Raw genomic sequence first — 18431 nt, 5'->3', positions numbered from 1 at the left:
CTCCTGCCTTGGCCTCCCAAAATGCCGGGATTACAGGCATGAGCCACTGTGCCCGGCCCACCACCTTAGATTTAACTAAATTAAGAATAAAATAAGTGGATGATAAAGAAATTACTCATAATGTTACAAAGGAAGTAAATGTGATGCAGAATTTATGGAGTACTAAATATTTGCAGGATCGAATGTAAAGGTCCATTATTCATCTACATGGAATCACAGGAGAAGAGGTTTAAGAAAAGGCAGTATTTAAATAACTATTCAGCTTTGAATTTCCAAAACTGATGAAAAGAAATGTATATATATATACACGCACACACACACACACATTCATATATATATATAAATATATACACATATATGAAGCACAAGCACAATAGATTCTAAATAGAATTTTTTTTTTTTTCTTCTTTGAGACGGAGTCTCGCTCTGTCACCCAGGCTGGAGTGCAGTGGCGGGATCTCGGCTCACTGCAAGCTCCGCCTCCCGGGTTCACGCCATTCTCCTGCCTCAGCCTCCCAAGTAGCTGGGACTAAAGGCGCCCGCCACTACGCCCGGCTAATTTTTTGTATTTTTAGTAGAGACGGGGTTTCACCATTTTAGCCGGGATGGTCTCGATCTCCTGACCTCGTGATCTGCCCGCCTCGGCCTCCCAAAGTGCTGGGATTACAGGCGTGAGCCACCGCGCCCGGCCATGAAATTTTAAAAATAAATAGGAGTCTACAGCAAAACAAGGAAACTAGAGAATCTCAAAAACAAAGAATATTTACAAGCCATCAAAAAGAAGACAGATCTATTGTAGTTTGATAATTACATTGTAGACTTCTTAATGGCGACTATGAAAGCCAGAAAAGAGTAGAATATTATCTTCAAAATCCTGAGAGGAAATGTCTCTCTACCTAGAATCATAGAACCAGTAAAATTATCTTTCAAGAATTAGGGTAAAATTAAAACAGCATCAGATAAAATCTATGAGAGTTTACCACCAACATGTGATTATAAACAATGCTATTTCAGGTAAAAAAAAATATGGAAACAGATTAACTAAATAATCCTACCCAAAACTATATTTTTCTAGTATTAAACTCAATATTAATGATTTCCTCCCAGGAAAATAACATTATATATTACACAATACATTTATTTTTATCGGTTTTATATTTATTGGTATTTATTATTATTTTTTTGAGACGGAGTCTTGCTCTGTCACCAGGCTGGAGTGCAGTGGCAGGATCTTGGCTCACTGCAACCTCTGCCTCCTGGGTTCAAGCGATTCTCCTGGTTCAGCCTCCTGAGTAGCAGGGACTACAGGTATGTGCCACCACACCCAGCTAATTTTTTTGTATTTTAGTAGAGACCGGGTTTCACCACATTGGCCAGGATGGTCTCAATCTCCTGACTTCGTGATCCACCCACCTCGGCCTCCCAAAGTGCTGGGATTACAGGCATGAGCCACCGCGTCCAGCCATTTATTGGTATTTATTTTATGGGTATATAAGAGCTTTAAGCTTTTGAAATGTATATTTAGTTTCAAGTTTTTACATATTTATTTTTAATAAGAAAAATATAAGTGAAAACTAGGGGCCATGATGCATTGTATTTAAGGGAGTCACTGAAACAATTTAAAAATGATAAACACTGAACTTGAAAATCCCTCATACCTGCCTCAGTTCTAATATTACAATTTCCCTTCTATATCAATCATATTATGTGTCATTACCCTGTCAGCTTCAACATACCCTTGTATCTTGCTGTCATTAAGCCTGTTTATTGTGTGTGAAAAAAGAAGCATCCTTCAACCTTTCAGGAAGCTGAACTAATGTGACTTACTGGAAGGCTTCAAATTTATCTCCATTAGGTCTTCTAAGGGATATTACACTTCTGCAATCATAAAAATTTACTTTTAACAGAATTTTCCAGGCATAGGAAACGTTTAAGTGATTATGCCTTTTATGTTGTATACAAAGTTGAAAACTCCATGTAAGTGCTTGTTTTTTGATCATCTTTCTAAGAAAATATCATATTTTGACTTTTCTCTCTGTCCTATTATCTTCCCAGAAGAGGCAATGATTGTTCCATAGTATAAACTCTTTAAGAATAAGTAAAATTATGGCATTGCTATCATCAAGATGCTTTATTTTCTATGCGTATTTTTTTACTGCAAAGTCAGAGCCATACAAACTATTTTCCAAGTTTGTTCAATTATATATTTGCCAAACAACTGGCAAATGAGAAATGCTTTTACAATTTAAAATATTTTATATTTTACAATATTTCTTTTTGTATGAGTCTACTTGATTAGAAGATTTGCCTTGTTCTTGTTCTGCTTAAAACCAGCTGCCTTGAATTTTACACTTGTTGAACCAGAATTAAGCAAGACTTGCTAAGAACGGCTATTTTTATAATGCTCAAAAATCAAAGGATGAGCCATGTTGAGGAGTTAAACTTTAAAACACATTCAGAATATTATTTTTAATGAACTGGCATGTTTATTATTTTTCTCAGATATATTTATATTTCAAATGAAAGCAGTTACAAAATACACAATTATTTTTCAGGAAATTAAAGCAAAAAATGCATACAACATGGTTTAATAATCCTAGATCAGTAATGGAAAAAATATATCTGTAGTTCTACTCTGCCATTAAATAAGTAGGGCTTTTTTTTTTTTTTTTTTTTTTTTAGATAACTACACCTGCCTGACCCCTAATTTTTTTCAAAGATAAAATAAAGGCGGTGAGAAAAAGGTAAGGTAATTAATAAATGATAGCAGTATCAGTCAAGAATGTTTTTAACCATAGGTACTTGAAAATTAAACTGATAATTACTTAAACAGCCAAGGTGTTTATTTTTCCCACATAAGTCTAGCACTCATACAACAAGAAATATGAATTATGTACATCAATAGACACCCAGATGCTATCATATGTCTACTCTTCAAATTTGGCCAGTGGATTTTAGTCTTCCTTGATGCAAGAAAGCCACCATAGCTCCAAGTATTATGCATATAATTGAGTAAATAATAAGTCATAGATGTCTACTTTATAATATTAATTTATAAGTAATAAGAAGAGATATTATTTTGTACTAAAGCCTCCCACCACACTCATCCTATGTAATACTTCCCATTACACCTCACTATCCAGAATTAGGTAACATATCCAAACTAATTTAAAAGTAAGGTAGATTAAAAGGGCAATGTGATTATCGGGATTGGGTTAAACCAGTGTTTCTTACTGGAGATCTCAGGAGCATTTTAGCCTGGAAAAATCTTTGTTATGCAGTATCATTCTGTATATTCCAGGACATTTAGCATCCATAGACCAGGATCACTGAATGTCAATACTATCTCTTAGCCCTTTGACAGTCAAAAATCTGCTCAAATATTTCTAAATGCCCACTAGAGGGATGTTACTTTTGCAGGCTATGATTTATTGGATGATATTGGGCATATTTTCACCCTGAAAAACCTGAAATTTTATTGCAAATTAAGAAGTGATATATGGTAGGAAATTGCATTGCTTACAATAAATTCTAAGTTCCTTTTCAGTTTTAATGTCTATAGTTCTATGAAGATGCCTTAGGTTTAGACAAACTCATTTGCTTATAAAAATATTTTGATATTCCAGCATTGTATGCTCCCTACCAAACAATCCAATAATATACTCTTTAATATAAGCTTATGTATTTCTTTTAGTTTCAGTATGACACTGTTACACTTATCTAGTGATATAAAATTTAAAATATTGGGGCATTTTGACATCCTTGTTGGGAAATTAGTGTTTTGTGTCATATTGGGCAGAGAGAGAGACTCAAAAGGACAACAGAAAGCAGAAGAGTTACTGGTTATATCAAAAATGATCTTATGTCTATGGTTCAGGAGAAAGATGAGAATGAAAGAATCTGAACTCCTGTACTTACCCTGTATACTAAAATATCTACTATTTCATCTGCCATTGGTGGTTCTAAGTATGCTGCCTATTTTGTATTAAGTATAATGAAATTAAAATGTTCTCATTACATAAAATTCTAACATAGACTCTCGACACATGATAACTAAGGACTGTCTTATTCACACCTTTATGTCAAATGAAGAATGTAGCAAACAATGGTCAGTTAATGTTTATTGAATAAATATATTTTAGCTTTTGAATCTTATACCTAAGTGACATGGCAGCAAGGGGAAGAAAACAGACAATAAAATCCCTTTCTGTCTTAATAATATTTTGTATCACATTCTTATGTACTTAAAATTATAACTATATTCAAGCATTAAGCAAGTTAGACAATGAATTCCTTGCTTCTAATCTAGAAGTGGTGGTTTTAAAACTTTAGAGCCCTTGGAATTTTATAGAGGTGCCTCAAGATTTGGGAGAGGGCTTGTTGGCAGCTACATGGAAGAATATTAATGGGCAGTACTTAACCTTTTACACCTGCTATAAACATGCATTCTATTTTAATATATTTTATTTGTGTTCTGTGTAAAATTTAACATAAAAACACACTAAAAATACTTTGTGGAATACTAGTTAACAAAAATGGATAGGTGGGAGATTATTGCTCCATTCTCATGTATAAAGAGTCTCTTCAAAGTTTGCTCAAAGAAGTCTACTTTCCAAAGAATATTAACAACTTCCCCAAAACAAAAGTTACCTTGATGACATCCAGCAAAAATGAAGGCCCTAGAATCTTTTCTTCATTTGTATCAATAACAATGCCCCCTGAGGTACAAATTCAAACTGCCCTCAAAGTGAAGCCTTTTTATTCAACATTCATTCTGAAATTGTTCCAGGTATTAGGAAAAGAAATACCTAAGACATGATTTCTTCTCTCAAAGAGTTTACTAGAAATTACATAATAGGTATGCAAAGATATGCAAAGATACATATCCATTATTATATCTGTATTTCTATCCTCTTCTTAGAGAATCAGGTCCATCTATGACCCTCTAGGAACAGTCCGACATAACATAGGCTTCATTTTTTCAGCCATAGTTACTAAACTAAGAACAGATAGCTTATACAAATTCAGCCAATTTTATTCTCTCTATGTGGAATTTGGAGTTAGGTCTCTAATTCTGACTCAATGTGGTATGAAGAGGAAGGGATAGGGAAATGTATGGCAAAAGAGAGTCAGAGTTGGCATTTGTGCAAGATAAAGCCACATGGCTGAAATTACAAAGGGAAAGGGTCTGAAGGTCTTGCAAAGATAACCAATTTGCAGAGGTGTATGTAAGACTTGTGGAAAGAAAGACACTAGTAGAAAAGAATATATGACCCCAAAGTCAGAGAGAAGAAACTACAGCTTTCCAGTTCCAATGTTAATTCTGGCAAATGGATTCTTTGATATTCCTCAGGATCCTTATAATGAACTTCCTTTACGTTGTAGTTAGAGTGGATATGAGTGCCTCTTTCTTCAGCTAAATGATCTGTGACTAGAAGAGGGAGAGTGGCACGCAAATGACATATGTACACACTCTCTATAAACCACGCAAATGTCATTATTGTTATCCATGCCACATTAACTTTTAAACTTTCCTCCTTATCTTCCATTGTTTATTCCCTGTATCCCTTGCCTCCTATTCCTCTCCCCAACATATTACTAATGATCAGTTTTATTCCTTTTCTTGCTTCTTCAATTCCACTCGCTAAATTGCAGTAACTGTTTTTATCGTGCTTAAAGGCAATTCAAAGATATGTTACAAAAGCCTTTTCAACATACTCTGAATTGAATTGTTTAGGCATATTTTTTGCCGGGAAGAAACAAAATAAAATTTGTATTAGCTTTCTGGTCATAGATCCTGAATACTGGAGTTGGAAAATTTCTTGGTAGTAAAATAAAGACCAAAAGATGAACAATTTATTTTCCAAAATGCATTTAAGAAAACATTCCTTCATGATGCTTCCAGATAAATTGTGTTTTAGGAAAGATGCAACACCCTATGGTCCACTTCTACCAAGTAAAACATTTGAAAGTTTGACATGAATTAAGAAAAGTGAATGCAGTAAACTCTCCATGTCATAAAACAGGTTTTCATACACTCAAGCTGCATGGACTTTAGCATTCAGTTCTAAATGAACCAAAGTTAAGCAATAATAATTAAAGCCAAGAACATCCTGGTGAATAGTGATTGGATGTTAACTCCTGATGGCCCTAAGAGCAGTACTGGAAGAACAGTGCCTACTGGGTCTTAATCCACAAGAGATATCATGAACTTAGACTTCTACTTTGATCACAGACTTAAAGTGATACAGAGGAATTAATTATCATTTATTATTTTACTGGTTGGTATTTATATTCTGTATGTTGAATCTCAAGAAAGGTATGAGTTCATATGGGTCCCTACAAATAGAACCTTTTATACCAATAATTTTATTATCAAGTTGAGTTCAGGAACAAAATGAAGTAAAATATGAAAACTTGTTTAAAAGAGACAATAATGATTGCAGTATTTTACACAGCATTTTTACATATATACTTCCTCCTAACAAGCATATGAAATATAAACAACACATAGCCAAGTTTGTTATTGGTTTCTTATGTGTCAGGATATACTTCATCTATTTTAAAGATGTAAATTCTGAAACATGAATGGGCTTAGTAATTTGTCCTAGTATAGAGGTTTCCGAACATTCTTTTTTGGTGGTACCCTTAGTATCTCAGAAATATATCCATAGTGGCCCTAAGCCAAAAGACTTAAAATACAGCTTCCAGAACAGCAGCATGAGGAATGAGCAGCACTCTCATCCCAATGGCACAACCATAACAACTGAAAAATTACAAAAAAATAGCCAAAGTTTATGGAAATTGTTTTAAGTTTGTATAATAAAATGGAAATATTTATTTTTAAAAAATCTACTAAATCTCAGTAGGAACAGAGACTAATGCACTTGAGCCATAACTTGTTCTTTCTCTTCCCTCCTGAGCTCATTATGCGTGATCCAAAAATTTACATGGAAACCCAAATAGTTAAAACAATCATAAACAAGAAGAGCAAAGCCAGAGGCGTTCCATTACTTGATTTCAAAATCGATTCTGCAACCCATAGATTAAGGAGTCATTTCAAGTCTTATTGTTTAAGAAATACATTTGGTAAGGTTACAGCTGCCATACATAGTGATTCCTCTGATTGAGCTGGGTGAGGGAAATTGAAAACTTTCTGTACAATATTCGCCATTCAAGATGCCATTAAGAACATTCATGGGAGGAGGTCAACATACCAATATTAACAGGAGTTTTGAAGAAGTGGATTTCAACCCTCAAGGATGACTTGGAGTGTTTCAAGACTTCAGAGGAAGAAGTAACTGCAGATGTGGTAAAAGTAGCAAGAGAAATTGAATTAGAAGTAGGGTCTGAAGATATGACTGAATTGCTGCAATCTAATAATCAAACTTGAACTGATGAGGAGCTGCATCTTATGAATGAGCAAAGAAAGTGATTTCATGAGATGAAACCTACTACTTCTGAAGATGTCACGAACAGTGTTGAAATAACAAGAGAAGATTTAGAATATTACATAAACTTACTTTTTAAAGCAGCAGACAGGTGTCAGAGGATTGACTCCAGTATTTAGAGAAATTTTACTATGGGTAAAATGCTATCCAACAGCATCGCATGTTACAGAGAAATCTTTTGTAAAAGGAAGAGTAAATTGATGTGGTAAACTTTACTGTTGTCTTATTTTAAGAAATTGCCACAGTCACCCCAGCCTTCAGCAACTATGACTCTGGTTAGTCAGCAGCCATCAACCTTCAGCCAAGACTCTCCACCAACAAAAATTAGGACTTGCTGAAGGCTCAGATGATTGTTAGCATTTTTTAGCAATTCAGTTTTTTTTTTGTGGGTTTTATTTAATTATTTTTTTTGAGACAGAGTCTCACTCTGTCACCCAGGCCAGAGTGCAGTGGCGCGATCTCGGACCACTGCAACCTCTGCCTCCCGGGTTCAAGCGATTCTCCTGCCTCAGTCTCCCAAGTATCTGGGATTACAGGTGCACGTCATCACACCTGGCTAATTTTTGTATTTTTAGTAGAAATGGGGTTTTGCCATGTTGGACAGGCTGGTCTCGAACTCCTGACCTCTGGTCATCCACACGCCTCAGCCTCCCAATGTGCTGGGATTACAGGCATAAGCCACTGCACCTGGCCTAACAATAAAGTATTTTTAAATTAAAATATATGCATTGTTTATTTAGACATAATGGTACTGCACAGTCAGTAGATGGGTATATAGCATAACATAACTTTTATATGCGTTGGGAAGGCAGAAAATTCATGGAAAGGAAAGTAACACAAGCAAAGTCAATTTTAATTATTCGTCTTGATGAAAAGGGGCAGTGATGAGAAACATGAAATAATTTCCAAAGCTCTTTTACTTACAGTTGTCATGCCATACGTTCACACACATACACACACGCTACCCATTTAGAGCATCAATTATGGCATAGGTTTGTACTTTTAAAAAATTATTTGCACTAAAAGTGGATATTTACATTAAGAATTCTACTTTGCAAATCTATTCCATATCCAAAATGGTAGGAGTGGAGTGCTCCTACCCTTTTATTAACAAATTACAGAACACACAAAATTAAATAAAAGGCTCACAGGCATCATTCAATTCTTTGTCACTCGCATTTCATAAAAATGCCATTTCCATTAAAATGGCATTGCATAAAAATAGAATTTGCTGGGGGTATTTTTCAGCAGATTAGCCTCCTAATTACATTTTGCTTAGGTTAATGTTAAATTAGTTTCTGTTCCCTAAGCACATATCAGCTGACAGCAGAGAGAAGCAGACTTGCAAATTTCTAGGTAATGGAAAGAGACCACCTACAATTTAAGATATGCTTAATTTAATCCACAACAACAATGTATCCAGACAGATAAATGTTAATTAATGATACTCGTAAAACTTTTAAAATGTTGATAAAATTCTTGACAGAAAAATCCTACAAATGAAGTATGAAAGGGAAAATATCACTATCTAAAAATCATACATTGGAAAATAAAATTCTTTACAGTATATGATCGTCTTACTTTAATCACAAAAAATTGTTGCTTATAGTTTTGTTCACCATTTTCTAGACAATCAAAACAAATGATACATTGATCTGTTTAAATAATTTAATGAAATCACATCTTGATATTTACCAGTCATTTTTGGATGCACAATGCCTTACAGTTCTGTCATGACTTCTAATATCATATATTAAATATTTACAAGGATGACAAAGCAACCACATTTTGACTTAGTTATCTAAATAAATTCTTTGAAGATAAAGGTTAGACTCAGGACCTTTTTTTTTTTAGAAGATCAAGGATCTATACAAATATTTTATGCATGAAAAGGTACAGTAGTAGTTGATGACCAAGAAATATTGATTAGTTGATGTGAGTAGCATCAATAATGAATAGCTTTACTCTTGCTCTGACTTTAGAACATTCTTTCCCAACATTTGAGTTTTCCTAAACTGTATTTTCCTGACTTCAAAATACTAAAATTAAAACTCAATTCAACACCCACCAATTGAATACCTACTATGTGCAAAGCATTGAAAGATTCTGGGCCTTCTAGAGGGCATCAAGATAAGATGGAGCAACTCTCCTCTCACCATTTCCCAACACTCAAGAGGTTCATGACTAATTAGAAGAGCCCTTCGCAAACTATAATATAGAGGAGAACTACCTGGAGATTTTCATCTAGGGTATGGCCTGGAATTCTACATTTCTAACAAGCTCCCCGGTGATGTTCATACTGCTGATTCCCAGACTATTCTGAAGAGGCAAGGGATTCCGAGGTTGAATGGGATAACAGAAAAGGAAAATGGAAGATGATCCATGACAAGCAGAAGTGACCCATTGCTCAAACTGGTAAAAAAAAGGTGAAGCGGGGGGTAGAGGGGGATTTAGGCAGTAGTTCATGAAACAATTGGTATTCTTGTGGCTCTTGATGGCTGAGGGCTATTTCAATTAACAGAGATGATAGAAAAGGGCAATCCAGGCATAGCAAAAAGACTAACAAAAATATCTAGGCTTTGAGCATAGAAAAATATCTAGACAAAGTGAGCTCATACCCTGTGCATATAAAAGTTATTTTCATGAGAGAGAAATAAAACAGGTTCGTAATTAATAAAAAATAAACATTATACTTATTGTTTTTATTCATGTCAATAATCACACAAAGTCTATTATTGCTATGCCATATATAAAGAGTTCTCATATCTGCTATTATCAGAATGTTCCTGTAACAACTCTATTACATAATTTTTTTTTTTTGCTGATGTAGTAACCTATTTACAGATGAAGATTCTGAAGATAACATTTAATTGTCTTGACCAAAATTGAACAGCTACTAAGTGTTATATTCAAACTCCAAAATTAATTTTTTGGCCCCACAAAATACCATCTCTAGTAACCATTTATAGTTTAAGAACAAAAACATACTTTTAAGATCTACCAAGGCAAGTCTTTCCTTATCATTGCTCTTTATCTTAAAAGAAGACTTTATATAATAAGTTATGCTTCTAGTCTCTCCCTTAAAACAATACAATTGCTATTTTATTTAACTCCATTACATTTATAAATTAATTTGTAAAGTTGAATCGCTACAACATATAGTCCTCCCACAGAAAGGTAAACTGTCTCTTCATTTATTCAAATATTTATTGCAATTTCTCAGTTTTCTAAATTTTTATTGAGAAGAATAATAACAGCCAATAGAAAGATACTGCTTTCTATATGCCAGATACTGTTATAAGAACTTAGTGTATATTAACTCATTTAAAGCTCACAACAACTATATGAGATAGGTTTAATTAATCTTTACACTATTTCTCGTATTTACTCTGCCTTATGTGACTGATTGTTTATATTTTTTATATTATTTTAATATTAAGAATTTCTAATGATAATTCTAATAATAATAGCTAACATTTACAGACTGCTTACTTGTATATCAGGTAACTGCTTTATGTTATTAAATTTATCTTCATAATCATCCATTGAGGTGGTAACTATAATTAGGTCTGTTTTACATTTTAAAAGACTGAGGTAAAGATAAGCTAAATGGTTTATCCAAGACAACAGATTTTACATATGGTGAAGCCAGGACTTAGTGGCAGGGACTGGCTAATACCAGCTTATAAAAGCCAACAGCTAAATTTTCAGGAATTTTACAAATTATTAAACACATCTATTACTAAAATTACATAAGATATAAAATTATGTATTAGTCTGTTCTCACACTGCTAATAAAGACATACCTAAGACTGGGTAATTTATAAAGAAAAAGTGGTTTAATGAACTGATTGTTTCACATAGCTGGGGAGGCCTCATAATCGTAGTGAAAGGCAGAGTAGCAAAGGCACGTCTTATATGGTGGCAGGCAAGAGAGCTTGTGCAGGGGAACTTCCCATTATAAAACCATCAGATATCATGAGACTTACTTACTACCATGAGAACAGTATGGGGGAAACTGCCCCCACGATTCAATTATCTCCACCTGGCCCTGCCCTTGACACATGAGGATTATTACAATTCAAGGTGAGATTTGGGTGGGGATACAGCCAAACCATATCAAATTATATTAACATAAATAAAATTAAAGAAATTGTATTAGAAACAAAGGTAATAAACACTCAAAACCCATCACTTCCTAATTATTTTATTGCACTTGTCGATTTATTTTTGCCCCCTTCTCACCATAAAGCCAGTTGTTAACATTTACCAGGACACCACTGTGTTTGGCTAGCTAATTCTATTTTATTAGTTAGATACATTTTTTTTCTTGGATCCCCTAGTATATTGTAAGCGAATCACCTCTAAATCCAATAGGCCAAAACACACATTACAAATAATAAACAAGTAAACATTTGATATACTAATGTGTTGAGTGCAAAAGATAAAAACATATTATGGTAAGAGGGATAGAGTGCATTGGGTAGGGTTGTGAGTCACTTTTGAATGCAAGGTGTTAAGGGAAGCATAGATACCTGAAGAAGATAAGAACACAATCCATAAATATGGGAGGAATAGTGAATTACAGGATTAGAAATTACAAAAGGCTCGAGAAAGGAGGGTTCCAGTGATATCTAGGATCAGGAAGACTAACCAAGTTTGTGATAAAGAAATGAGAAAAGTTGGTGGAGAGGATTAGGAGATAAACTCAGAGGAATGGCAGCTATTCCATTGTACAGGCATTGTAGGACAGTGTGAGGAATCTGGCTTTCATTCTGGGTGGGATTGGAAGCCATAAGACAGACTGGGGCAGAAAGGTGACATGACCTGATGTAATGACTAAAAAAATTTCTCTTTAGTTTTATTAGATCCTATTTGTCAATTTTTGGTTTTGTTGCAATTGCTTTTGTTGTCTTCATCATGAAATCTTTGCCCATTCCTATATCCTAAGTGGTACCGCTTAGGTTGTTTTCCAGGGCTTTTATAGTTTTATAATTATAATTTTTATAATTAAGTCTTTAATCCATCTTGAGTTGATTCTGGCACATGACATAAGGAAGAGGTCCAGTTTCAGTCTTTTGCAAATGGCTAGCCAGTTATCCCAGCACCATTTATTGAATAGATAATTCTTTCCCCATTGCTTGTTTTTCCCAAGTTTGTCGAAGATCACATAGTTGTAGGGGTGCAGGCTTATTTCTGGGTCTCTATTCTGTTCCATTGTTCTATGTGTCTGTTTTTGTACCAATACCATGCTGTTTTGGTTAGCCCTATAGTATAGTTTGAAGTGGGTAGCATGATGCCTCCAGCAGCCAATAATCATGTGGAAAAAAAAAAAGCTCAACATATGAAAAAAGCTTAACATCACCAGTCATCAAAGAAATGCAAATCAAAACCACAATGAGATCCCATCTCACACCAGTCAGAATGGCTATTACAAAGTCAAAAAATAACAGATGCTTCACCTCTTTTGAAAATGAAAATAAATAAATAACAGATGCTGCCAAGGTTGTGGAGAAAAAGGAACATGTATATAGTGTTGGTGGGAGTGTAAATTAGTTCAGCCATTGCAGAAGATAGTGTGGCAACTTCTCAAAGACTTAAAGACAGAAATACCATTTAATCCAGCAATCCCATTAAAGGGTATACGCCCAAAGGAATATATATCATTCTATCAGAAAGACATATGCATGCATATGTTCATTGCATCACTATACACAATAGCAAAGATATGGAATCAACCTAAATGCCCATCAATGACAGACGGGATAAAGAAAATATGGCACATATACTCCATGGAATACTATACAGCCATGAAAAATAAACAAGATCATATCCTTTACAGGAAAATGGATGGAAGCTAGAGGCCATTATCTTTAGCAAACTAACACAGGAACAGAAAACCAATACCGCATGTTCTCACTTATACATGGGAGATAAATGATAATACATGGACACACAGAGGGGAACAACACACACTGCGGCCTATGGAAGGGTGGGGGTGGGAGGAGGGAGAAGATCAGGAAAAATAACTAATGAGTACTAGGCTTAACACATGGGTGATGAAATAATCGGTACACTAAACCCCCATGACACAAGTTTACCTATGTAACAAATCTGCAAATGTACCCCTGAACTTATAATAAAAGTTAAATAAAAGTAAATGGATAAAATAAAACACAGGCCAAAAAGCCAATGACTTCAGTGTAGGAGGATGGAGCCAAGTCAAAAGCCAGGTTATAACATCGTCACCAAACCCTCAGATTAGGTGTTCATTCTGCTCACTTCCATAAATGGCTGTCATTAAAAAAAATTTCTCTAGCTGCTCCATGAAAATAAACAGAAAAAGGGCATAGTCAGAAAATGGAAGAGAAGTTTGGAATCAACTGTGGCTTAAACATGGTGACAGCAGTTGGTGGTAAGAATTGGTAGAGTTTTAGATACATTTTGGATAAATTTGTCAGAATTTGACAACAGATTGCTTGTAGATTGTGGGAGAAAGAGAAGAATCAAGATGATGATGAGATTTGGGCCTGGGCAAAGGGAGGATGCAGCTGCCATTTACCAAGAGGCAAAGAACTGAAGGAAGACCAAGGAACACTGAAATCATGTGTTCAGTTTTGGATCACATGAGATTTCTATTAGGCACTTACGTCAATTGATAGCTGACTTTAGGAAAGTTTTGGGGAGAGATCTGAGCGTAGGATATACATTTGGGACCATTCAGGGAATAGCAGTTTTTTAAAACCGTGACACTAGGCAAGCTTAACCAGAAAAGTGAGTGTAGATAAAAAAAGATCCCTAAAAATAAGAACCAAGTCATTCCCAATATCTAAAAGGTAAAGAGATGAGAGGAACCAGACAAGAAGATGAATGAGGACATAGGCAGAAAATCTACTTTATCACAGTGGCCGGGTGACAAGAAAACCCTTGTCTTTGTTTTTCCTCACTTCAATGAGAGTTCATCAAGTGTCCTGTTGTTAAATATAATATAGCTCGTTGGTTTGCATCAGGCTCCTTAATACTGTAGGGATGTCAACTTCCATTCACAGTTTTGTAATCATTTTGATCAGAAAACTCTTCTGAATTTTAAAGGAACCACACATTTAATCAAAAACTGCCTGTCCTATGTCATAGAACACAATCATAAAGGATAGCTGCTCTTCCATGAACTGTCACATTAGTCCTAGAAAAAGTATTAGAAAACATGAAACACTGATTAACCTGATTATAGTTTACTTAAATGAGTATGGAAAAATTCATGAATCTCAGCAAGGATGTCTGAAATAACCAAAAAGTTTGAGTATTTTAAAGAAAGTCAATTATATTCCTTCTGATTACATGCAATTACTCAAACTAGCTTGAAAAAATGAAATTCAATTTTGTAAAGAGGTTAACAGACACTTATGGGAATAATTTCAATGAATAAATGGGTTAAACTTATAAAAGGTATATTTGTAAACTCATATTTTGCAAGGGTTTATGGTTACTTATTCTTTTAATAATCTTGAATACCCATTCAGTCGTGTTTAAATAGTCTGCAATTTGTTGATCAAGTAAAGATAATGTTTATTATTTACTCCACCTGAATCTACAAATTCTAAAAGCATGAAGTATAAGGATTCAATAATTGTATAAGTAATACTATTTTAAATTTTTAGATTTTAATATTAGAGAGAAAAATGTGAATCTAGTATATACAAGGAAGTAAGGAGGGTGTGTGATTTTAACACAAAAAAGATTGGCTGAAATGCCAAACTTCTTTTAGTAAGTAATCTGCACATGAGGGAATAAGAAAAAAATTGAAGCCTATATATTCCCTAAATGTGATGCATAGAAAACTAATAAAAGTTAAATTAAAAATTAAATGAATATAAATGTTTCTTTTAAAACTTTCCCTAATATAATCTCTAAAACCTAAGCTATTTTAAACAGCCTGCATATTATACACTCTGTAGCTCTGAAAAAATAGATTCTCATTTTCACTTTAAATTGCATGCACAGTGTGATAAATAATAGTATTAAAGCAAGATGAAAAATTATCAAGTTGAATTAACATTTTCTTTTGTAAAAGTTATTTATTTTCTTCTCATTCTTCTCTTATATTTTGCAGGGCAAGGTTCCAGAAATTCCAAATGGTTAAAAATACATATACATTACACACACACACACACACACACACACACACACACACACCAGAAGTTCTGTTAATTTCTTACTCTATCTACCTAAAATCTGCTTATCTATATTATCTATCTATCTATAACAACTATATTAGTGAACTGAAGTTTTTATAGTATTTGATACTTTTCATAGTTTTTAAATTAGGTTTATTTCTTTGTAAATTATTCTGATATTTTAATTATATACAGTTTTTAAATAAAGCATACTAAAACTACAAAAAAGTGGTTATGTTTAATTTTGGCATTCTCACCTGTGGTACAATTTCAATTAATCCTGAATTTTTACTTAAATGGACATTGGGCTTCCTTCTACCTGTATCTCTCTCTATCTCCTCTTTAAGGTCAATAATTCTTAGATTTGCCCTTTTGAGGCTACTTTCTAGATCCTGTAGGCACACTTCATTGTTTTTTATTCTTTTTTCTTTTGTCTCCTCTGACTTTGTATTTTCAAATTGCGTGTCTTCAAGCTCACTAATTCTTTATTCTGCTGGATCAATTATGCTGCATGCATTCTTCAGTATGTCAATTGCATTTCTCAACTGGAAAATTTCTGCTTGATTCTTTTAAATTATTTCCATCTCTTTGTTAAGTGTATTTGATAAGATGCTGATTTCCTTCTCTGTATTATCTTAAATGTCTTTGAGTTTCCTCAAAACAGGTATTTTGAATTATCTGTCTGAAAGGTCACATATCTCTGTCTCTTCCAAATTAGCTACTGGTGCCTTAAATAGTTTTTTGGGTGAAGTCATGTTTTCAGATGGTCTTGATGTTTGTGGATGTTCATTAGTGTCAAAGCATCAAACAGTAAGGTATTCATTAATACTATAGTCTTCACAGTCTGGACTTGGTTGTACCCATCTTTTTGGGAAGGCTTTCCAGGTATTCTAAGGGTCTTGACTACTGTACTCTAAGTTTTTGGTCACTGCCATCAGATCTGCATTAGGGGCCACCACAAGCCTAGTAATGCTGTAGCTCTTGCAGACTTATAGTACCACCTTGGTGGTCTTGGATAAGTTGCAGAAGAATTCCCTGGATTACCAGGCAAAGACTCTTGTTTTCTTCTGTTACTTTCTCCCAAACAGTCTCTCTGTGCTGAGATGCCTGGAGTTGGGGGAGGGGTAAAACAAGCACCCTGTGGCCACCACAACTGGGACTGCACTGTGTCATATCTGAAGCCAGCATGTTATTGGGTTTCACCAAGGCCTGTGGTAACCACTGCCTGGCTATCACCTAAGTTCACTCAAAGACCTAGGGCTCTATCAACAGCAGATGGCAAAGCCAGACAGGCTTGTGTCCTTCCCTTCATTGTGTCGAATTTCCCATAGCCTACATGAATGCAGAGATGCTGTCCAGAAGCCATGGCCAGTATCTGGAAACCTCAGGAAACTCCCTCATGTTCTATCTACTGCAGCTGAGCTTGCACCCAAGCCATAAGACAAAGTCTTTCCCACACTTTTCTTTTTTGTGACTGAGCTGGTATCCACTTTGCAAGACAAAGTCCTCTTCACTCTTCCCCCTTCTCTCCAGGCAGAGGGAAGGCATCTCTCCCAGAGCTGTGGGCTGTGCTGCCTTTGGTTGGGGGTGAGTTGTACAAGCACTCTCCCCATGGCCACCACTGCCACAAGTGTGTGGTGAGTACTGCCTGGCTACCACTTATGTTCACACAGGGTACAAGGGCTCTTCAGTTAGCTTGTAGTGAATGCTGCTAGGTCTGGGGCACTGCCTTCAGGGCAGTTGTCCCCACCTCTGGCTCAGGGCAGGTCCAGAAATGCAATCAAAGAGCCAAGGCCTGGAATCAGGGACCCAACAAGTCCACTAGTTTTCTACCCCACCGTGGCCAAGCTGGTATCTAAGCTGGAAGGCAATGTCCTATTCACATTTCCCTCTGCTTTTCTAAAGTCTCTCCCTGTAGCCACCAACACTGGAAAAGTTGTAGGTCACACCTGAAGCCAGCACTTCTCAGAGTCTCACTCAAGGATCATGGCGAGTAGCCAGCAAACGAGGAATGCTGCCAGAACTGGGTTCTTCCCTTTAAGGTAGGAGGTCCCCTTCTGGCCCAGTGTGTGTCCAGAAATGTCCAGGATCTACAGCCTGGAATGGGGGTATCAGGTTTCTGATTGGAGTCCTATCCTTTTGTGATTGAGCTACTATCCAAGTTGCAAGACCAAGTCTTCTTTACTCTTCCCTCTCCTCTGCAGGCAGAGGGAAGGTGTCTTTCTCAGAGCTGTGGGCTATGCTGCCTTGGGTTGGGGGTGAGTTAGTACAAGCACTCTCTTGGCCACCCCAGCTGACGTCTCACTAGGTCATGTGGCCCCCAAGTCTACTGGCTTCAAGCCTAACACAGCATCAGCACTTGCCCAGGAATTACAGCACTTGCAGCTTAGACTACCTTTTGAGTTTATTCTGGACCCCAGAGCACTTTAGCCTGTGGTACTGAGGCTTGCTGGGACTTAGGTTCCAGTTGCTGGGATGGGTGATACCCCTCTGGCTGGGTGCTGGTGTAATTGCTCCCTCCACAGGCATCAGCTGAGTTCTGCCCAGTGTTTCTTTCTGCTGTGACAGGGCACTACTGGGTTCCCAATGCAAAGTCTTGCAATTAGTACACTCTCCCTCCTCCAAGCACACAGATTCTCTCTCCATGCAACACAGCTACTGTTGAGGCTGGGGAGGAAGGGTGGTGTCACCAATTCAAGATGCTCTTTCCCACCCTCTTCAGTGTATCTTTCAGCAATATGAAGTTAAAACCAAGTACTGTGAATGCTCACCTGATTTTTAGTTCTTATGAAGGTATTTATTTGTA

General features: G+C 35.7%; 1 protein-coding gene across 11 annotated transcripts in view; it reads right to left on the bottom strand.

The window, feature by feature from the left end:
• The window catches only part of NAALADL2 (N-acetylated alpha-linked acidic dipeptidase like 2), a 1369567-nt gene that overhangs the window by 1111275 nt on the left and 239861 nt on the right, over nt 1-18431 (bottom strand). For 6 of the 11 annotated variants that reach the window (XM_017006077.3, XM_047447876.1, XM_017006078.3 and 3 more), the window contains one exon: nt 7218-7301. The exons of the other annotated variants lie outside the window; for them this stretch is intronic. The gene's annotated coding sequence lies outside the window, so the exon portion shown is untranslated. The remainder of the gene's footprint in view (nt 1-7217; nt 7302-18431) is intronic. 11 annotated transcript variants of the gene reach the window in all.

The sequence above is a fragment of the Homo sapiens genome, chromosome 3 (genome assembly GCF_000001405.40).
Source record: "Homo sapiens chromosome 3, GRCh38.p14 Primary Assembly".
Lineage (NCBI taxonomy): Eukaryota > Metazoa > Chordata > Mammalia > Primates > Hominidae > Homo > Homo sapiens.
This window is presented reverse-complemented; position numbering and strand designations above follow the sequence as displayed.